General features: G+C 47.5%; 1 long non-coding RNA gene across 6 annotated transcripts in view, besides 6 other annotated features; it reads left to right on the top strand.

The window, feature by feature from the left end:
• Positions 14909-15598: an enhancer, noted in NCBI's record as "H3K27ac-H3K4me1 hESC enhancer chr18:11951641-11952330 (GRCh37/hg19 assembly coordinates)". NCBI's record gives its function as "activates a minimal SCP1, AML or CMV promoter by ChIP-STARR-seq in primed H9 embryonic stem cells {active_cell/tissue: H9 hESC(primed)}" and the evidence as "EXISTENCE:reporter gene assay evidence [ECO:0000049][PMID:30033119]".
• Positions 18638-19385: an enhancer, noted in NCBI's record as "H3K27ac-H3K4me1 hESC enhancer chr18:11947834-11948601 (GRCh37/hg19 assembly coordinates)". NCBI's record gives its function as "activates a minimal SCP1, AML or CMV promoter by ChIP-STARR-seq in naive H9 embryonic stem cells {active_cell/tissue: H9 hESC(naive)}" and the evidence as "EXISTENCE:reporter gene assay evidence [ECO:0000049][PMID:30033119]".
• Positions 18638-20174: a biological region, named in NCBI's record as "CRISPRi-validated cis-regulatory element chr18.397". NCBI's record gives its function as "regulatory_interactions: IMPA2".
• Positions 19057-21951, top strand: part of LOC101927511 (uncharacterized) — a 37635-nt gene continuing 34740 nt past the window's right edge. For 2 of the 6 annotated variants that reach the window (XR_007066294.1, XR_243835.5), the window contains exons 1-2: positions 19326-19676; positions 20507-20654. This is a non-coding gene — a long non-coding RNA (uncharacterized LOC101927511). Of the gene's footprint in view, positions 19141-19325; positions 19677-20506; positions 20655-21951 lie in introns of those variants that run through there. The other 4 variants (XR_001753359.2, XR_001753361.2, XR_007066296.1 and 1 more) reach the window with 3 other exon arrangements.
• Positions 19294-20081: a transcriptional cis regulatory region, noted in NCBI's record as "candidate enhancer chr18.397 targeted for multiplex CRISPR interference". NCBI's record gives its function as "positively regulates IMPA2 gene expression in K562 cells {active_cell/tissue: K562}" and the evidence as "EXISTENCE:mutant phenotype evidence [ECO:0000015][PMID:30612741]".
• Positions 19406-20174: an enhancer, noted in NCBI's record as "NANOG-H3K27ac-H3K4me1 hESC enhancer chr18:11947065-11947833 (GRCh37/hg19 assembly coordinates)". NCBI's record gives its function as "activates a minimal SCP1, AML or CMV promoter by ChIP-STARR-seq in naive H9 embryonic stem cells {active_cell/tissue: H9 hESC(naive)}" and the evidence as "EXISTENCE:reporter gene assay evidence [ECO:0000049][PMID:30033119]".
• Positions 19709-19838: an enhancer, noted in NCBI's record as "active region_13097". NCBI's record gives its function as "activates an Ori minimal core promoter by ATAC-STARR-seq in GM12878 lymphoblastoid cells {active_cell/tissue: GM12878}" and the evidence as "EXISTENCE:reporter gene assay evidence [ECO:0000049][PMID:35858748]".

Raw genomic sequence — 21951 nt, 5'->3', positions numbered from 1 at the left:
TTCTCTGCCTCAGCCTCCCGAGTAGCTGGGATTATAGGTGCCCACCACCATGCCCAGCTAATTTTTGTATTTTTACTAGAGACGGGGTTTCACTGTCTTGGCCAGGCTGGTCTTGAACTCCTGACCTCGTGATCCACCCGCCTCAGCCTCCCAAAGTGCTGGGATTACAGGCGTGAGCCAACGCACCCGGCCATTCCTTTTGTTATTTTAGAGACAAGGTCTCATTCCATCCCTAAGGCTGGAGTGTAGAGGCTGCAGCTCACTGCAGCATCCAACTCCTTGGCCCAAGCGATCCACTCACTTCAGCCCTCCGAGTAGCTGGCACTACAGGTGTGCACCACCACCTCCAACTAATTTTTAAATTATTTGTAGAGACAGGGTCACCAATTGCTGGACTCAAGTGACCCTCCCACCTCACCTCCCAAAGTGCTGGGATTACAGGCCTGAGCCACCACACCCGACCAAATTTGTGATTTTAAGATGAGATTTTACTAAAACATTTAAATTAAATTAAATGTTAAAACATTTAAGTGAGGCCAGACGTGGTGGTTCATGTTTGTAATCCCAGCACTTTGGGAGCTCGAAGCGGGCAGATCACCTGAGGTCAGGAGTTCAAGATCAAACTGACCAACATGGCAAAACCTCGTCTCTACTAAAAATAAAAAAATAAAATAAAAATAAATTAGCCAGGCATGGTGGTGCACGCCTGTAATCCCAGCTACTTGGGAGGCTGAGGCAGGAGAATCACTTGAGCCCTAGAAGTGGAGGTTGCAGTAAGCCGAGATTGTGCCACTGCACTCCAGCCTGGGCAACAGAGTGAGACTCTGTCTCAAAAAAAGAAACTAGCATTTAAATGACCTTAAGTTCACCATATTAATGCATTTAATTTGTAATTATCAATGTTATTTAAAAATTTTTGGCCAGGTGCAGTGGCTCACACCTGTAATCTCAGCACTTTGGGAAGCCAAGGCCAGAGAATTGCTTGAGCTCAGGAGTTAGAAACCAGCGTGGGCGACATGTCTCTATTTATTAAAAAAAATTAATAATTTAAAACTTGGAAACATTTTGTCTAAGTGAGACGATTGAAGTGCTTAAAAGTAAATTATTAAATATATAAAAGCATTTAATATGTTAAAGCACATGTAACAATATTTGCAAATAATCAAATTATAAAAATCACTATTAAAAGTGATTGTTGGCCGGGTGCGGTGGCACACGCCTGTAATCCCAGCACTTTGGGAGGGCGAGGCAGGTGGATCACCTGAGGTCAGGAGTTCTAGACCAGCCTGGCCAACATAGTGAAACCCTGTCTCTACTAAAAATACAAAAATTAGCTGGGGGTGGTGGCAGGCGCCTGTAATCCCAGCTACTCGGGGGGCCAAGGTATTAGAATCACTTGAACCCGGGAGGCAGAAGTTGCAGTGAGCTGGGATGGTGCCATTGCACTCCAGCCTGGGGGACAAGAGCAAGACTTCATCTCAAAAAAATAAAAAAAAAAGTGATTGTTGGCCGGGCGTTGTGGCTCACACCTGTAATCTCAGCACTTTGGGAGGCCGGGACGGGTGGAACATCTGAGGTCAGGAGTTTTAGACCAGCCTGACCAACATGGTGAAACCCCGTCTCTACTAAAGATGCAAAACTTAGCCGGGCGTGGTGGTGCACGCCTGTAATCCCAGCTACTCAGGAGGCTAAGGCAGAAGAATCACCTGAACCCAGGAGGCGGAGGGTGCAGTGAGCCGAGATCGCGCCATTGTACTCCAGCTTGGGCAACAAGAGCGAAACTCCGTCTCAGAAAAAAAAAAAAAAGTGATTAAAAAAAAAAATTTTTTTTTGGCCGTGCGTGGTAACTGACGCCTGTAATCACAGCACTTTGGGAGGCTGAGGCAGGCGGATCACTAGGTCAGGAGATCGAGACCATCCTGGCTAACAAGGTGAAACCCCGTCTCTACTAAAAATACAAAAAATTAGCCAGGCGTGGTGGCATGTGCCTGTAGTCCCAGCTACTCAGGAGGCTGAGGCAGGAGAATGGCGTGAACCCCGGAGGCGGAGCTTGCGGTGAGCCGAGATTGCACACTGCACTCCAGCCTCGGAGACAGAGCAAGACTCTGTCTCAAAAAAAAAAAAAAAAAAAAAATTTGAGACAAGGTCTCACTCTGCCACACAGACTGGAGGGCAGTGGGTTCACTGCAGCCTTGAACTTCCTGGGCTTAGGTGATCCTCCCACCCCAGCCTCCCAAGTAGCTGGGACTACAGGTGGATGCCACCACACCCAGCTAATTTTTGTATTTTTTTTGTAAGGACACGGTTTCACTATGTTGCCCAGGCTGGTCTTGAACTCCTGGGCTCAAGCAAAATGCCTGTCTTGGCCTCCCAAAGTGCTGGGATTATAGGCATGAGCCACCATGCCTAGCCAATTGTTAAAATTTGCTAGAAGGAATGTGAATGAAGTGGAACTAAAAACTCTTTTAAAATCAAATATTAATTTTTAAGACCAAGGCATCTCCGAATAATTTTTCCTCTGCACAGAAAAACATCCTCAAGGGTACTGAAAAATGTACTGACTCCTAAAACTCTCCCAAATGTATTTCTCTGGGAGTGGTGGTAGTAGGGGAACCATCCCTGAGGCAGAGAACTGAGTATATTTTATTTCTATTTATAGGAGAGTTCTACTGAAGTTGTTAATAAAGTTAACTTCTAAAGTCAATTCTACTGCTTCCATATTTGGAAAAAAAACCCTCCGTGTGTTCATGAGCATCATTCTCAAGTCATCTGTATTCCAGAGCTGAATTCACCTTTTGTTTGGCTATTTGCAAAGATTTCTAACATTTCTAACAAATGACATACATAAACCCTAAGATTGCTCACATTTTAGGCTTCTTATTTCACACGTGTGCAGTTTTATACTAATATTAACTTTGTGTTCCTATAAAAATGTTTTGCTTACAACAAGGGCCTGTTTCCTAGCATTCTGAATAGTTTTGTGATGAAGGGTGAAGACTTTTGGAAAAAGCTCAAAAAGAGAAAGAGAGAGCAGTCCCTATATCTCAGGAGAATGAGCAAGGAGATGCATTCTGAGGCAACAGTGTTAAGGTTAAGCCAGAGTATGAACACTGAGGTGTCAGCATCCTCCCAGCAGGAGGTGCATTACCAGAGCTAGCCAGGGGCCTCTTGTCTTGGCTACTGGAGAGCGTGAGGAGTGAGAGCACCAAACCATGCTAATTCCACAGGCTACCGACCTGAAGGGCCTCCCAGACTACCCTGGGGAAAGCTGTAAATGTGCTGCTAGGCTTCAGATTTAGGTAGGGCCAAAGAGAACACGTTCCTTATTTTGCAAAGGCAAGCACATAGAAAGTAACCATCTAGGCCAGGTGCGGTGGCTCACACCTGTAATCCCAGCATTTTGGGAGGCCGAGGCAGGCGGATTGTGAGGTCAGGATATCGAGACCATCCTGGTTAACACGGTGAAACCCTGTCTCTACTAAAAATACAAAAAAAAAAAAAAAGAAAGAAAAAGAAAAAATTAGTTGGGCGTGGTGGCATACGCCTGTAGTCCCAGCTACTCAGGAGGCTGAGGCAGGAGAATTGCTTGAACCCAGGAGGTGGAGGTTGCAGTGAGCAGAGATCGTGCTACTGCACTCCAGCCTGGGCGACAGAGCAAGACTTTGTCTTAAAAAAAAAAAAAAGAATAAAGAAAAAAAAGAAAGTAACCAAAGTAACCATGCACTCACTAGGCATGGTGGCTCACACCCAGTACTTTGGGAGGCCAAGGTGGGAGGTCCCCTTGAATCCAGGAGTTTGAAACCAGCCTGGTCAACATAGCGAGATCCATCTCTACAACAAAAAAAAATAAAGAAAGAAAGTAAGTAACCTGGAAGGATTCTGAAACTCCCCTAGCAGGATGGTCAAGGAGTTTATATCTCTTTATGCTTCACTTTGCTGGAGAAGCAACTCAGTACCACTGGTATTTGTGCCACAATTACTTTAAAGGTATCTAAAATTAGTATCCACCCCCCACACCATACATATAAATTATGCAAACATAAGTAGGTGATTGGAAACATTTATTTTTAGCCAATTTTGCAAAATTAAAAGACCAAAGACATTGTCAAACTAGTAGAGTGAGCCTAATATGCCTTAAATGAATAAAGAGGATTCAAATGAGAAATACAAGAAAATACAAATAGTAGATGATGCATTTAGTTAGCAATGATTTGTTGTTTAAACAAAAATATTGTTTTGGATCAACTTGTTCTCAACCAAATTATTTTGGATCCAGTGATCTGACACACAAAATGCAAATGAGGAAGGGATGCAAGCCAATGATCCAGAATAGGATCAGATTTTCCAACGGCATAATGTAAACTTTGTCCAAAGGCTCATGGGACTTTCAGTGGGTGGATTTAATGTTGTGGGGGGAGGGGGGGCAGTGCAAGAGGAGGGATAAAGGGTCAGTGCTGCCAGGACTTGTCTAGTCCTTCCACACCCTCTAATCATGATCTGCAGGCTCTTTGCAGCCTGAAAGATCCTCTGACTGATAATATTGTGGCTCTGATAATCCTATGACATTACTAACTCCTGGTTGCTCCAAGAAACTTTCCTTCTTTATCAAATTCCAAGCTTCTCCATAAGGAAGGCTGTAGCAGGAACAGAGAGATGTATGCAGTACTGAAAACAGCAGTGGCAGAAATGATTCAAAGCTTTCTTGCCTTCTAAGAACACCAAAAATTAAATTTATTTAAGAATAAATATCCTGAGACTGCTGGGAGGGAGAAAAGGGCATAGAGACTTGTTTTAGAAACATGATTTATCAGGCAAACTGCGCACTGTCCCCTTTTTAATGGCTCAGGATGTTGCAGAAGAATGGAACATTAGTATATTATGCTGAAATTTTGGTTGGGCGCGGTGGCCCACGCCTGTAATCCTAGCACTTTGGGAGGTCGAGGCAGTCAGATCCCCTGAGGTCAGGAGTTTGAGATCAGCCTGGCCAACATGGTGAAACCCCGTCTCTACTAAAAATACAAAAATTAGCTGGGTGTGGTGGTACGTGCCTGTAATCCCAGCTACTTAGGAGGCTGAGGCAGGAAAATCACTTAAACCTGGGAAGCGGAGGTTGCGGTGAGCCGAGATCATGCATTTACACTCCAGCCTGGGCAACAGAGCGGGACTCAGTCTCAAAAAAAAAATATATATATATATATATATTATAATATATTATAATATATTAATATGTAATATACATTAATATATTATAATATATTAATATGTAATATATTAATATATAATACATAATATACATTATACATAATATAATACATATATACTATATATTTTTATACATATTATATTTTTATATAAGTTTATATATTATATATTACATATAAATGTTTTGTATATTTTTATAATTTTTAATATATAATATATAAATATACATAATGTATATATAATCCTAAAATTTTAATTTATTGAAATGTCTTTTTTTTTTTTGAGATGGAGACTCACTTTGTCGCCCAGGTTGGAGTTCAGTGGCACAACCTCGGCTCACTGCAACCTCCGCCTCCCGGGTTCAAGCAATCTTCCTGCCTCACCCTCCCGAGTAGCTGGGACTACAGGCGCCTGCCACCACGCCCAGCTAATTTTTGTATGTGTATATATATATATATATATTTTAGTAGAGATTGGGTTTCAGCATGTTGGCCAGGCTGCTCTCGAACTTTTGACCTCAAGTTATCTGCCCACCTCGGCCTCCCAAAGTGCTGGGACTACAGGTGTGAGCCACTGTGCCCAGCCAATTTATTGAAATGTCTTTACTTCTCTTAGTACATTTATTCTTCTTAGGTGGTGCAAAGAGTGATATAAATGAAATATAGATCCAGCTTAAATCAATTCGGAAAGCAAAATGCTAGAAGGCTCTTCTTTTTCCAGGCTCTGAGCCCCATCCCCAATTCTCATCCAGCGGCACCCCCATTGCTGAGAAGCTTCCCAGGCTCTGTCGCTGGGCCCTCTGATAATAACCCCCTGGACACACACCCACTTCAGGGCGTGTAGGTGCGTCTGCACGCGTGCGCGCGCACACACGCACACACACACACACACACAAACACACACTCATCCTCTTCATGGAAAGCTCTTTCTCTTCTGGCTTGGAATGAAACCTAGCTCTCTCCATAAGAGTCTCTGGAAACTCATAAGCATCCCCAGGGCCAGGGATGCGTGAGGATGGAGCAGGGTGGCGAGCAGAGGGAAGTGATGGCCCCTCCTCTCTCCACCCTCACAGGCTCCATCTTCATGCCAGAGCCCTAACTCCTCTAAGGCCCCTGCCATTCAGCAATTTCGCTGCCAGTGGTGTTAACGTCAAGGCCACCAGTCCTGCTTCTCAGCGAGATAGTATGGGAATGGGACGTGGCTTCTACTTCATGTTGTTTTTGTTTTCTTTTTGTTTTGTTTTGTTTGTTTGTTTTTTTTGAAAGACTTCACCTGCTTTTTATTGTGTTCTCTCTCTCCAAAACTAAGATATTTTACGTATTTTCTAATTGGTTCTAGATTTCTTTTTCTTTTTTTTTTTTTCTCTTTTTTTTCTTTTTCTTTTTTTTTTTTTTTATTGATCATTCTTGGGTGTTTCTCGCAGAGGGGATTTGGCAGGGTCATAGGACAATAGTGGAGGGAAGGTCAGCAGACAAACAAGTGACCAAAGGTCTCCGGTTTTCCTAGGCAGAGTGTTTGTGTCCCTGGGTACTTGAGATTAGGGAGTGGTGATGACTCTTAACGAGCATGCTGCCTTCAAGCATCTGTTTAACAAAGCACATCTTGCACCGCCCTTAATCCATTTAACCCTGAGTGGACACAGCACATGTTTCAGAGAGCACAGGGTTGGGGGTAAGGTCATAGATCAATAGGATCCCAAGGCAGAAGAATTTTTCTTAGTACAGAACAAAATGAAAAGTCTCCCATGTCTACTACTTTCTACACAGACACAGCAACCGTCCGATTTCTCAATCTTTTCCCCACCTTGCCCCCTTTTCTATTCCACAAAACCGCCATTGTCATCATGGCCCGTTCTCAATGAGCTGTTGGGTACACCTCCCAGACGGGGTGGTGGCCAGGCAGAGGGGCTCCTCACTTCCCAGTAGGGGCGGCCGGGCAGAGGCGCCCCTCACCTCCCGGATGGGGCGGCTGGCCGGGCGGGGGGCTGACCCCCTCACCTCCCTCCCGGACGGGGCGGCTGGCCTGGCGGGGGCTGACCCCGACCTCCCTCCCGGGCGGGGTGGCTGCCGGGCGGAGACGCTCCTCACTTCCCAGATGGGGTGGCAGCCGGGCGGAGGGGCTCCTCACTTCTCAGACGGGGCGGTTGCGAGGCGGAGGGTCTCCTCACTTCTCAGACGGGGCTGCCAGGCAGAGACGCTCCTCACCTCCCAGATGGGGTCGCGGCCGGGCCGAGGCGCTCCTCACATCCCAGACGGGGTGGCAGGGCAGAGGCGCTCCCCACATCTCAGACGATGGGCGGCCGGGCAGAGACGCTCTTCACTTCCTAGATGGGATGGCGGCCGGGAAGAGACGCTCCTCACTTCCCAGGTGGGATGGCGGCCAGGCAGAGACGCTCCTCACTTCCCAGACTGGGCAGCCAGGCAGAGGGGCTCCTCACATCCCAGACGATGGGCGGCCAGGCAGAGACGCTCCTCACTTCCCAGACTGGGCAGCCAGGCAGAGGGGCTCCTCACATCCCAGACGATGGGCGGCCAGGCAGAGACGCTCCTCACTTCCCAGACGGGGTGGCAGCCGGGCAGAGGCTGCAATCTCGGCACTTTGGGAGGCCAAGGCAGGCGGCTGGGAGGTGGAGGTTGTAGTGAGCCGAGATCACGCCACTGCACTCCAGCCTGGGCACCATTGAGCACTGAGTTAACGAGACTCCATCTGCAATCCCGGCACATCGGGAGGCCGAGGCTGGCAGATCACTCGCGGTTAGGAGCTGGAGACCAGCCCGGCCAACACAGCGAAACCCCGTTTCCACCAAAAAAATACGAAAACCAGTCAGGCGTGGCGGCGCGCGCCTGCAATCGCAGGCACTCTGCAGGCTGAGGCAGGACAATCAGGCAGGGAGGTTGCAGTGAGCCGAGATGGCAGCAGGACAGTCCAGCTTTGGCTCGGCATGAGAGGGAGACCGTGGAAAGGGGAGAGGAGAGAGGAGAGGTGAGAGGTGAGAGAGAGGAGAGGGGAGAGGGGAGAGAGGAGAGGGGAGAGGGGAGAGAGGAGAGGGGAGAGGAGAGAGCTTTGTTTTGTTTTTGAGATGGAGTTTCACTCTTGTTGCCCAGGCTGGAGTACAATGGTGCAATCTGGGCTTACTGCAACATTCACCTCCCGGGTTCAAGCGATTCCCTTCCTCAGCCTCCCAAGTGGCATGCGCCACCACACTTGGCTAATTTTGTGTTTTTAGTAGAGATGGGGTTTTACCATGTTGGTCAGGCTGGTCTTGAATTCCTGACCTCGGGTGATCCACCTACCTCAGCCTCCCAAAGTGCTGGGATTACAGGTGTGAGCCATCGTGCCTGGCCCCTACTTCATGTTTAAGATGCCTTTTACTTGAAAAATTCTAGGAAATTACCTTACGAAACCTAAATATCAAACCAGGGTGTCCAGTGTGCCACCTCAGGAAGGAATGCTGAACAATTGATTTACATCTTGTTGCTGCTGGCCAGGCCACAAGGGGACCCTTGACACAAGAGAATCATGGCAGCCAGATATGCTGACCTGCATCCTGTCCCCTCAGTGCTCCGCCCTACTCCTGATATCAGTTCCCACACTTTGCCTAATAAAAAAGCTTTATTTGGCTAGGATTACAGGTGTGAGCTACCGCACCCAATCCTTACTGCATTTTCTTTTCTTTTTTTGAGACTGAGTCTAGCTCTGTCGCCCAGCCTGGAGTGCAGTGGCACAATCTCAGCTCACCACAACCTTCGCCTCCCAGGTTCAAGCAGTTCTTCTGCCTCAGCCTCCCAAGTAGTTGGGATTACAGGCACACACCAGCACTACTGGCTAATTTTTATATTTTTAGTAGAGATGGGGTTTCACTGTGTTGGCCAGGCTGGTCTTGAACTCCTGACCTCGTGATCTGCCCGCCTCGGTCTCCCAAAGTGCTGGGATTACAAGCGTGAGCCACTGTACCTGGCCCCTACTTGCATTTTCAATAGCACTTCACCTGGAGGATTATTTCTCCCTGAAATTCTCTTGTTTGTTTTGGGACATCAGTCTCTGCTGGTACTCTTTGCACTTCTCTGACTACTGCTTTTCCAGTCTTCTGGGAAGTGCTTGGTTCTTTGTCCTCGCCCCTTTTTGGTCTAGACCCACTCTATTTACCATGTACTATGTACTGACCAAGTGCTGTGTGTTCACAGATGTGCTCCAGACAGACTTAAAGCACAGTCCCTGTCCTCAGGGAAATTTCAGGGAACTTGCAGTGTGGAGAGAAGTAGAATGTAAGGGAATCATTGACATACAGTATGACATATGAAACAACAGAAGCCTTTGTTTAGTCCAGAAGTTGTGCAAAAGACAGGGTGGACTCTCCCTGGAGCAAGGTCTGGGAAGGCTTCACGAGGGAAATGAGGGTAAGAATGGCCTTCACAAATAGACAAGGATAGAAAAATTATTTCAGGCAGAGAAAACATTCCCAGGGCAATGCAAAAAGGTAGGCGGAAGTAGATTCACACAAATAGAATTCTGAGCAATTTGCAAATAGCATATTCCTCTATTTCCATGATTTTCAACCAGGGCAATTTTGTCCTGCCCAGCAATATTTGGCTATGTCTGGAGACATTTTTCATTGTCACAACTTGGGGGGAGTGAACATCTAGTAGTTTAGTCGTTGGAGGCCAGAGAGGCATCTAAACACCCCACAATTCACAGGACAGGCTCTCACACAAAGAATTATCTGACCTAAATGTTAATAATGCTGCCATTGAGAAGTCATGTTCTATTTTCACTCCAGTGTGAGGAGTCCAGCTCCAGGCCAAATTCTATGTGTGATTTTTCAGACCTGACCGTAGGTGGTTATGTTAGAAACAAAATGCTTGTTCCTCAGTGCCGCAAAGAAATAGCACTCAAACATAAATTTAATTTTCTCAGCAAGGCAATTTTTACTCCTACAGAAGAGTGTGACTTGTGAATCAAGCAATGGTGAGGGCACACCTGGACAAGGGAGGGGAAGGGGTTCTTATTCCTGATGTAGGTAGCCCCTACTGCTGTGTCATTCCCCTGTTGGCGAGGGTGGGATAGCACAGTCTAAGCTAATTCTGATTGGCTATTTTAAAGAGAGCAGGGGTAACAGCCAGAGTGGCCGGGTGGGTAGTTTAGCAAGAAGGGTGGTTACTCCGGATGATTCAGGTGAGAGCAGGTGACCGGGGTGACTCATGTCAAAGCAGGTGACCAGGGGAACAGATGTGAACTACTGATTAGAACTGGCGGGAAAGTTGTTTACTGAAACTAGAGGCAAGGGGGCGAAGAGAACCAGGAAGTTAAACTTTAAAATGAAGAATCAAAGAATAAGAGAGCTGAACATACTGACATACTGATTCTTTGAAGAGAAACTTGGAGTTCACTATATCTAACAGTTACAAAGGTATTTACCTGGCAGGTCTCTGAGGGCTGGGGAGCTGCACCTTCCGTCCTAGCCTTGCTGCATAGCTGGTGCATTGCAGTTGTACAAGGGAGTTGCAGTCAAAGACTCAGAAGCGACCTCCCACCACCACCCCCAAGCTGGGTTCTTAGACACATCTGCAGGCTTAGCCTAGGTACCTCCATTTTGAGGTGAGGGGAGGTGCCTCAGGTGAGACCACCTTTTTCCTTTTATAGATATATAAAGTATATTTTATATATATATATATATATTTTTTTTTTTTTTGAGACAAAGTCTCACTCTGTCACCCAGATTGGAGTGTAATGTCATGATCTTGGCTCATTGCAACCTCTGCCTCCTGGGTTCAAGCGATTCTCCTGCCTCAGACTCCTGAGTAGCTGGGATTACAGGCGCCCACCACCATGCCCGGCTAAGTTTTGTATCTTTAGTAGAGACAGGGTTACACCACGTTGGCCAGGCTGGTCTTGAACTCCTGACCTCAGGCAATCCGCCCCCCTCAGCCTCCCAAAGTGCTGGGATTACAGGCATAAACCACTGTGCCCAGTCATTTATTTTATTTTTTAAAATAAAAAATAGAGACGGGGTTATACCATGTTAGACAGGCTGGTCTCGAACCCCTGACCTAATCAACCCACCTCAGCCTCCCAAAGTGCTGGGATTACAGGCTTGAGCCACGGCCCCCCTTCTCTGGGGCGCTTTGAAGACGTTTTCCCCTCTGGGACACAGTGTTTGGTACTTTTCCACTCCTAGCCCTTCCCCTCTCCCTCCCCAGGCCCCCAGATCCTGGCAGCTGAACCGGCTCTGACTCAGCTCTAGACATAGTCACATTACGCAATTATTTGGTTTTCTTTGTCTTTGAATCTAGCAGGCACTTAATGATTTTAGAATTGAATGAATGAGAACATGTTTTCATTTTCCAGATGACAAACCTAAAAGAAGTCATTAACAGGATGATAGAATAAGGCTTTAAGAAATTTTGTGGACAGCTTGGCAAAGGAAAATGAAATTTGGGCAAACATAAAATCCTCCATTTAGGCCTACTAAAACAGTAACCGTAGAAGTGTGGAATGCAGCTGTTCTAGGAATCAGCATATGGAAGTGCTAGGACTCCCTGATATTTAGGAGCATGTGTGAGGCAGGAAAACAGGGTCTGGAGGCAGGGAACATAAGGCAGGGGACACTTCGGCTATCACAGGAAATATCCTCTCCACAGTAAATTATTTTACAACTTTACTTCATGCTCTTCATTTACATAGGGCACACCCCTTTCCAAAAATTCTGTAATGGGGCCCTTGAGCCCCTTTGCTTGGGCCTGCTGCCACACTGTGGAGTGTACTTTCAATTTCATTTTTTTTTCTTTTTTCTTTTTTGAGATGGAGTTTCGCTCTTGTTGCCCAGGCTGGAGTGCAATGACAAGTTCTCAGATCACTGCAACCTCCACCTCCTGGGTTCAAGCGATTCTCATACCTCAGCCTCCCAAGTAGCTGGAATTACAGGTGTGAGCCACCATACCCGGCTCTATTCACCATTCTTTAGAAGGGCCACTGACCACAGGGAACATGTGTAAGGAATCAAATGAGTGAATTAGGATGCTTATCTTGGAGAAGGCAAGAAACAGCAGCAAAGAGCAAGATGATATGAAGAGTTCTCAGGAGGAAGGGCCTGAACAAAGCTACATTTGCTACAACTCTCATGGAACAGAAGCTTCCAGGCCACACACTGACATGGGCCTCTTGTGAGCCTTCAACCTAATTTTGTGTTCATAATTGTTATTCTTCTTCCTGAAAAAGGGCTTCCCAAATTGAATACGGTTAGCCCACTAACCAGTTCTGGGTCCACCCTAGAGCTAGAATGAGTCTGCCTGACTCCGTAACTCCTTAGGACAAAACAAAGGCTAATAATTGAAAATTACACTGAGGCAGCTGGGCGTGGTGACTTACGCCTGTAATCCCAGCTGCTCAGGAGGCTGAGGCAGGAGAATGGCATGAACCCGGGAGGCAGAGCTTGCAGTGAGCCAAGTAAGCCACTGCACTCCAGCCTGGGCGACAGAGCGAGACTCCGTCTAAAAACAAAATTACACTGAGGCAGAACATTGCTCAAGATCTGGAAATTCTCCCAGTCAGCTCTATTAAAAATTGGGATGGGCTGCGGAAAACCCGTGAGCATGTCACTGGAAGTCTTCAAGTAGGGGCAGAGTGATCGCCTGCAGGATGTTGTAAGAGGAGCTGATGATTTCTTCCAACTCCAGGAATCTGAATCTCTAAAATAAGCTGTAGAGCATTTAGAAATCATATTTTAGCTGGGCATTATAGTGGGCACCCCAAGTTCAGACATGTTGTTAGCATTGTTTAAATTGCTGTAGTACTATAAAGTAATGCAAATACATATTCAAACGTATTCAATATTTCAGAATGACCTTTTCTCAAACATTCACCATTAGGAAGTTACTGAATTTAATTGGCAATACACTCCTAATCTCCCACTCTTCTAGCCATGCTCTTGGATACTGGATTCCTTGCTCAAAAATAGCCTAGGTTGGCCGGGCGCGGTGGCTCACGTCTGTAATCCCAGCACTTTGGGAGGCCAAGGCGGGCAGATTACGAGGTCAGGAGATCGAGAGCATCCTGGCTAACACGGTGAAACCCCATCTCTACTAAAAAATACAAAAAAAAAAAAAAAATTAACCAGGTGTGGTGGCGGGCACCTGTAGTCCCAGCTACTCGGGAGGCTGGGGCAGGAGAATGGCATGAACCCGGGAGGCGGAGCTTGCAATGAGCCGAGATCACGCCACTGCACTCCAGCCTGGGTGACAGAGCGAGACTCTGTCTCAAAAAAAAAAAAAAAAAAAGCCTAGGCTGGGTGTGGCGACTCATCCCAGCACTTTGGGAAGCTAAGGCAGGTGGATCGCTTGAGCCCAGGAGTTCGAGATCAGCCTGGGGAACATGACGAAACCCCATCTCTACTAAAAATACAACAACAACAACAACAAATAGCAGGACATGATGGCACGCACCTGTAGTTCCAGCTACTCAGGAGGCTGAGGTGGGAGGATCACCTGAGCCCAGGAGGTGGAGGCTGCAGTGAGCTGTGATCATGCCACTGCACTCCAGCCTAGGTGACAGAGTGAGACCGAGACTCTGTCTTAAAAAAAAGAAAGAAAAAGCCCAGAAGCCCCATCCCAACAGCTCTGTCATCATCATTGCTGCCATGACAGTCAAGTGCAGCAGGTCCTTGGTCTTTCAATGCACGTCAGATGTATCATCACAGTGAACCGCTGGTGACAGTTTGACTGATAGTGATGACGCCATGTGCTGTAGATTACTAATGTTCAGTTTCCTAGTAGAAAGGAAGTCAGCACTGTGATCAAGCCAAAGACACCTCCATACAAATCCCGTGATCTAATCTATGAGAGTCTGTTTTCTTGGACCTCATACCCATGACATCAGTCATGGTCCAGTCAAGAAAACAGAAACAATCTTAGCATTTCAATAGAGAAAATTTAATATAAGAAATTGAGGCCGGGCGCAGTGGCTCACGCCTGTAATCCCAGCACTTTGGGAGGCTGAGGCGGGCAGATCACCTGAGGTCGGGAGTTTGAGACCAGCCTGACCAACATGAAGAAACCCCATCTCTACTGAAAATACAAAATTAGCATTGCGTGACGGTGCATGCCTGTAATCCCAGCTACTCTGGAGGCTGATGCAGGAGAATTGCTTGAACCCGGGAGGTGGAGGTTGTGGTGAGCTGAGATCATGCCACTGCACTCCAGCCTAGGCAACAAGAGTGAAATTCCATCTAAAAAAAAAAAAAAAAGAAAGAAAAAAGAAAGAAATTGGTGAAGCAGGCAGGGCGCGGTGGCTCATACCTGTAATCCCAGCACTTTGGGAGGCTGAGGCAGGTGGATCACCTGAGGTCAGGAGTTTGAGACCAGCCTGGCCAACATCGCGAAACCCCATCTCTACTAAAAATACAAAAATTAGGCCGGGCGCGGTGGTGGGTGCCTGTAATACCAGCTGCTCAGGAGGCTGAGGCAGGAGAATTGCTTGAACTTGGGAGACAGAGGTTGCAGTGAGCCAAGATCATGCCACTGCACTCTAGCCTGGGCGACAAAAAAAAGAAAAAAAAGAAAAAAAAATTGAGAAAGCAAGTAAAAGGGCAAAAACAGAAAACTGAGACAGCAAGGACCTTAAAGGCAGGAGGCAGTGTGGAGGCCAAAGCAGCTCCACCACAGACGCTGATCCACCATGTTGGCTTGTGATTAACTCCTATTCCCAGAAGCCTCTAAGAGTTCCAGTCTATGTGTTGTTCCTTGTGTAAGAGCAGGTACTTTACCATAAATCCTGCCCTTAGGTCAAACAACCGTGATATCATATTTCAATTGTCCTACACATCTCTTCTGAAGCATCTACACCCTTTCCCGATGGTGTGTAAACCCTGGGTCTGGGGATGATGGCGCAGGGTCTACCATCTCAACTCGCAGTGACCAGAGACACAAACCTGGCTTCTGTTTGTAAGTCCCTATTAAATGTTTCTTTCTAAGAAACTGGATTTGTCAGCCTCCTTTTTGGGCCTCTCAGCTTCCTTGGATTTGGGAGGCAGGTTTGCATAGACCTGCTCACCACAAAACAGGTAGCTACCAACCTTAGGGTTGGGGAAACAGGGGCAGAGGTTGAGGTTATCAGAACCTGGAAGCTGGGAGGAGGAGTGTCACAGAGCTGGGAGCTGGACCTCTGTGCAGGACACTGCTGCAGCTGCCATGGCAGGCTCAGAGGGGGACTTTAAGGAATGGCTGGTGCTATGACCCCTGCAGGGCACAGAGAGTCTGGCTCAGAGTGTGGGGAGAGCTGGAGGGAGGCCGACAAGGACAGCAGGTGAGCAGGTCCCTTCTCCCTCTTCCAGCCCCTTCCCCCACCATCTCCTTCCCGCACTCCTCCTGCTAGATTTTAACAGGAGTCAGCTGCCAAAGGGAGATAAACGTGTCTGCAGAGTCTTAGCCTCAGCATCAAATTGCAGAGCAGGGGTGGGTTGTTTTGAGCTGAGAGACAAACGCTTAATAACCAGCACAACAAGGCTGGGCACGGTGGCTCAAGCCTGTAATCCCAGCACTCTGGGAGGCGGAGGCAAGCTGGATCATGAGGTCAGAAGATCGAGACCATCCTGGCTAACACAGTGAAACCCCGTCTCTACTAAAAATATAAAAAAATTAGCCGGACATGGTGGCACGTGCCTGTAATCCCAGCTACTTGGGAGGTTGAAGCAGGAGAATTGCTTGAACCCGGGAGGCAGAGTTGTAGTGAGCTGAGATTGCGCCACTGCACTCCAGCCTGGGCAACAAAGCGAGACTGTGTCTCAAAAAAATAATAATAAATAAATAAATAAAATAACCAGCACACGACCCCTGCCCACACACATAGGACAATGTCTGGACTCCTTGGGGTGGCTGATGCAGCCCCTCCTGACCTGGCCTGCTCCCCAGCCCTCCCGCCTCCCTCTCTGAAGGAAGCCTCTTTCCTGTCTCTCTAGATCTGGCAGTATTCACCTCCCTTGGGTTCTGCTGCACCTGCTCAGGTAACTATGAAAGCACCGGAAACGCTTCTCATTTATTGACTAACACATCTGTTTCCCCTACTAAAATTCCCAAGCCCTGGCCAGGCACAGTGGCTCATGCCTATAATCCCAGCACTTTGGAAGGCCGAGACAAGAGAATCACTTGGGCCTAGGAGTTCAAGACCAGACCTGGCAACATAGCAAGACCCTGTCTGTACAAAAAATTAAAAAATAAAAAACTTAGCTTGGTGTGATAGCACGCGCCTGTGGTCTCAGCTACTTGCGAGGCCGAGATGGAAGGATCGCTTGAGCCCAGGAATTTGAGGCTACATGCCATTGCACTCCAGTCTGGGCCACAGAGCAAGATCCTGTGCCTTAAAAAAAAGAGTATTCATTTAGCCCAGGGGATAGATTGCACACCTCAGCCCTTCTAGTCTGGGGTACCAGGCATAAGATAGAGACCAGGTCTAAGTCTTGGATCTTATAATTGGAAGAGAAGTGACCTGCTTCTTTGCCTTAGATTTTTTTTTTTTTTAAACAAGGTCTCACTCTGTTGTCCAGGCTGGAGCTGGAGTTTGGTGGAATGACCTTGGCTCACTGCAGCCTCAACCTCCCCAGCTCAGAGATCCTTCCAGGTCAGCCTTCTGAGTAGCTGGGACTACAGGTGCACACCACCACGCCCAGGTAATTATTTAATTTTTGCAGTGACGGGGGTCTAGCTATGTTGCCCAGGCTGGTCTCAAACTCCTGGGCTCAAGTGATCCTCCCACCTTGGCTTCCAAAGTGCTGGGATTACAGGCATGAGCCACCCTGCTGGCGGGGCCTTTTTTTCAGAATGATTATTTTCTATTGTTGAGATGTAGCTGATGTGAGCTGGCTTCTTGGTAGTCTTGAAATAGCCTGTATTTTTTACTACAAGCAAGTTATGTCACACCAATTTTAATTTTTCCTCTCCCAAGAAACACAAGCAGTCCATGAGTGAAAGCAGCCAAGGGGCCCTGAAGAGGTAATACAGATTGTAGACCACTTTAGTAAATACCATGAGTTTGTTTTCATGTATCTAATTTACCTTCATCTTTACCAAGAACTTTTTTGTTTAAAACACTCTTGTCCTGCACTAAGATTTTCAATATATTTCCCTCCCTTTTCTGAGCTATTAGCCTCTCTCTTCTCTGAGACGGAGTCTCGCTGTTACCCAGGCTGGAGTGCGGTGGCGCGATCTCGGCTCACTGCAACCTCTGCCTCCTGGGTTCAAGCTCTCCTGCCTTAGCCTCCTGAGTAGCTGGGATTACAGGTATGCGCCACCAAGCCTGGCTAATTTTTGTATTTTTAGTATAGACGGGGTTTTACCATGTTGGTCAGGCTGGTCTCAAACTCCTGACCTTGTGATCCACCCACCTCGGCCTCCCAAAGTGCTGGAATTACAGGCATTAGCCACCATGCCCAGCCCTATCTTCTTACCAATTTTAATGTGCCGTACTGTATGTGATTATCCCCAACCAATTGTTTAAATCATATAGTCTAGCCTATTATGTGAATGGGCACCTACCTAAATCTTGAAACTCTTCACCTAGGTTGCAATTATATTCCCCTCTCCTTTAAAAATCCTTATATGTCTCATTGATTGTTCTTCCAGATTCATTTACCAACCACCACACTCTATTAGAAGCCAGAGTTTATGGGGTTAGAGCTGGAAAACTGACAAAGTAAATTTCCTTTAGTACCTCTCATAACATCCCAAGTCAATATGATGCTTCATGTTAAGCAGTGCAATCACAGCAAGTAATAAGATTCTACATACCAAACCACATTTAGCTTGTTGTCTTCGAGTTTTTGGTAGAGCCTTGTGCTGGGGGTGGCAGGAAGAGAGAGGGGACACAGCATGGCCAGTGCTATATAGCATGGAATGCTTTTAACAGAGAACAAAGTGTTTGTACTAAAAGGCAGGAATCTGGGGCTCAGTAGGTGTTGAGTAACTGAATTGCTATGAATGATTTTCCGTCAAAATCTAAATAACATTCCAGCCTTTGCCAGCTTCATAGGGGAATTAGATAGTAGGAATGCACTGAGTTTGTGCTCCTGGGAAGACTCCACGATTGGGGGAAGGAAGGCAACAGAAATGAGGGCAGGGATGTTGTTTATCTCCGTCCAAGCACAGGAGGCCCCGGGTGGGATGACAGGTGGGATGACCTCCGTTTACTGGTGGCCCAAAAGCACACCTATGCCTTCAGGATGAAGTGCGCTCTGCTCCTCACCCAAAGGTTTATTTCTGGAAACCTTTAACTGAAGTACATGCACATTCAGAAGAATACATGTATCCTGAACATACAACTCACTGGACTGTCACAAACTGACCATACCTATGCAACCAGCACCAGGTCAAAAAGATATTATTTTATTTTAATTAATTTATTATTATTATTTTGGAGACAGGGTCTGGCTCTGTCTCCCAGGCCGAAATGCTGTGTCATGATCTTGGCTCACCGCAACCTCCACCTCCCGGGTTCAAATGATTCTCCTGCCTCAGCCTCCGGAGTAGCTGGGATTATAGGCGTCCGCCACTATGCCTGGGCTAATTTTTGTATTTTTAGTAGAGACAGGGTTTCGCCACATTGCTCAGGCTGGTCTCGAACTCCTGACCTCAAGTGATCCACCTGCCTCGGCATCCCAAAATGCTGGGATTATAGATGTGAGCCACCGCGCCCAGCTAAAAAGATATTTTAATAATATGAATGCAACTCTGCATGTGCATGAAATGCAAAGGTGACAGGGTGTTATGAAAATGTCTCCCTTCCCTCTATTTTCTAGTCACCCAGATTTCCTATTAAGAAAAAAAAATTGTCATTAGTTTCTTAACCAATGGGTTTTAAACCAGACTTCCTGACATCTGTAAGATCTTGGCTTGGGCTCGCGGCCTCGGTGAGGCTGGAAGGGTCTTTGTGTGAGCTCAGGACGGCGCTGGACAGGTGGGCCCTGGCTCCAGCTCCGGCTGCAGCGTCTTCCCCGCGCTCCCGAGCCTATCCCTCGGGCGCCGGCCTGGGCTGTCCAGCGAGAGGGGCGGAGGGGCAGGGCCCCGGGCTAGGTCCAGGCCCGCAGCTGGCATCAGGGGGGGCCTGGGTGGGAAGACCGGTTGGGGTGGGGGTGCACAGACCCGGGGAATCTGAGACGCAAGGTTTCCGGCTCTTGGCCGCTAGTGAGGAAGGCTCGAGGCCGATCCTGGCCCAAAGCAGGGCGCCGGGCCATTGTCAGTCCTGGGAAGGGGGATTGGGAGGAGCCCCAGAGGGGCGGCCATTCCCTGGGGCGGCGTGGAAGGGAGGCAGCACCTCCAGGCGACAAGTAGAGCTGGGCCCTGGCGGGCTGCCACGGGGGTGTCTGGCAGTCTCTCCTGGGTCTAGGGCTGTTCCTCTGAGGTCACGAGGTGGTCCTTCGGGTGTGTCTGGGGTAAGCCCCTCTAGAATCTGGGGGCGGCCTCCCGGGGGCCATACTGCATCACGTAGTGGAGGTAAGCAGAAGCCCGTTGGGGAGGGCCCGCGGTGCTTCTGGTTTGAAGATCTCCAGGAAGAGTGATTTTAAAAAATAGCCTGACTGACGTGTAAAGAACCCTATCAAGTACCGTTTGCTGAGTCATGAGTGCCTGTTCAAGTTCAAGCCTGAGAACGGAGGGAAGGGGTGGGTGAAAAAGGACTCGCCAACGCCGCGGCGCCTCTAAGCTGGTAAATACGGCCGGCCTGAAGTGGGCCAAAGGTCGCCGCCTGAGGGACACACAGGCCCAGGCCCAGCGGCTGGCCTGAGTCTACGCGGTTTGTGGTTCCTCCTTAGGAAGCCAGATATGGCACTTTCACTTTAAAGATAAAGAAAACGATTTTAAATGAAAATAATTTTTTTTTCCCTTAAGGGGTGTACACTTTTACTTGGGTCACCTTTTGGTCTTCTTTCTTTTAATAAAGAAACCCAAAAGTATGATCTCTCTCAAGTTTTCTTATGTAAAAAAAATGTATAATTTTATTTTGTATAGAGACGAGGTCTTGCTCTGTTGCTCACACTAGAGTGCAGTGGCTCAATCATAGCTCACTATGGGCTCCTGGGCTCAAGCCATCCTCCCTCCTAGACCTCCCGAAGTGCTGAGGTTACAAGCATGAGCCACTGCACTGGCTTCTCATGTTTATCTATTATCTGGTGCCAACAAAAGGAGCTATTTTAACTCATCAGCATTGCAGTTAGTTTTGAAGCTGACCATCCGATAGATGTTTATGGACAGTTCAATCCTGGGCTATGTAATTTTGGAAATAAAATGATAAAATTGTTTTTCTGATTCTATGGTTTATCTTCTAGTTGGGAAGATAAAACCAGCACGTGTAATGTAATACATGACAATGGAAGATTCTACGTAATTAAGGGTTAACTCTGAAATCAGAAGACAAGTTTTCCAAGACTTGGGAAGGTGGAGAGATCAGAGATCAGTGAGAGAACAAAGAATCGGGTAAGTATTTCAAGAAGAGGCGCGTCTTACAGTGTGGATCACATTTCTGTATGGGTGAGGTGGCTCACGCCTGTAATCCTAACATTTTTTTTTTTTTTTTTTTTGTGACTGAGTCTCGCTCTGTAGCCCAGGCTGGAGTGCAGTGGTGCAATCTTGGTTCACTGCAACCTCCGCCTCTAACACTTTGGGAGGCCGAGGTGGGCGGATGGCTTGAGTCCAGGAATTCAAGACCAGCCTAGGCAACATGGCGAAACCCCTTCTCTACAAAAAATACAAAATTTAGCCGGGCGTGGTGGCACATGCCTGTGGTCCCAGCTACTCAGAAGGCTGAAGTGGGAGCATTGCTTGAGCCCAGGAGGTTGAGGTTCCATTGAGCCATGATTGCGCCACTGCATTCCAGTCTTGGTGACAGAGTGAGACTGTGTCTCAAAAAAAAAAAATTCTGTGAGTACTTGCTGGGTTACACTAAATGAAACCTCCTGGTTGATAGCTGAATGCTACGCACGCGTGCGCGTGCACACACACACACACACACACACACACACACGGTACAGATGGGGTCTCTCTATGTTGCCCAGGCTGGTCTCAAACTCCTGGGCTCAAGCAATCCTTCCTCCTCAGCCTCCCAAGGTGTTGGGATTACAGGCATGAGCCACTGTGCCCGTCAATAATAATTTTTTTTTTTTTTTTAGACGGAGTCTCGCTCTATTGCCCAGGCTGGAGTGCAGTGGTGCGATCTCTGCTCACTGCAAGCTCCACCTCCCGGGTTCACACCATTCTCCTGCCTCAGCCTCCCGAGCAGCAGGCGCCTGCCACCACGCCCAGCTAATTTTTGTATTTTTAGTAGAGTCAGGGTTTCACCGTGTTAGCCAGGATGGTGTCAATCTCCTGACCTCGTGATCTGCCCGCCTCTGCCTCTCAAAGTGTTGGGATTACAGGTGTGAGCCACCACGCCCGGCCCAGTAATTCTTTATATTACTCACTCTTTTGGAATAACTGGTGTAGCTTCTCTCTCTTTATTGGACCCTGATAAGAGAATCACTTAGTATTAATTCTTTTGTGTTTGGCTAACATCATCATCATTTTGTTGGTGAGACTCAATCAAATTGTTACAGGTGATGCAGGATTTTTTGCCCCTTAGCTCAGATAGGTCTGGGTTCTTGTCTCATGACCAGAAAGAAGTACGCATGTGGACACTGAAAGAGTAAGGTGGAAAGTTTTATTGAGTGATTAAACAGCTTTTAGCGGGGAAGGGACATGGGGGTGGTCCCCCTACCTCAAGGCAGGAAAGTTCTCA

Source organism: Homo sapiens, chromosome 18, assembly GCF_000001405.40.
Source record: "Homo sapiens chromosome 18, GRCh38.p14 Primary Assembly".
NCBI classification, from domain to species: Eukaryota; Metazoa; Chordata; class Mammalia; order Primates; family Hominidae; genus Homo; species Homo sapiens.
This window is presented reverse-complemented; position numbering and strand designations above follow the sequence as displayed.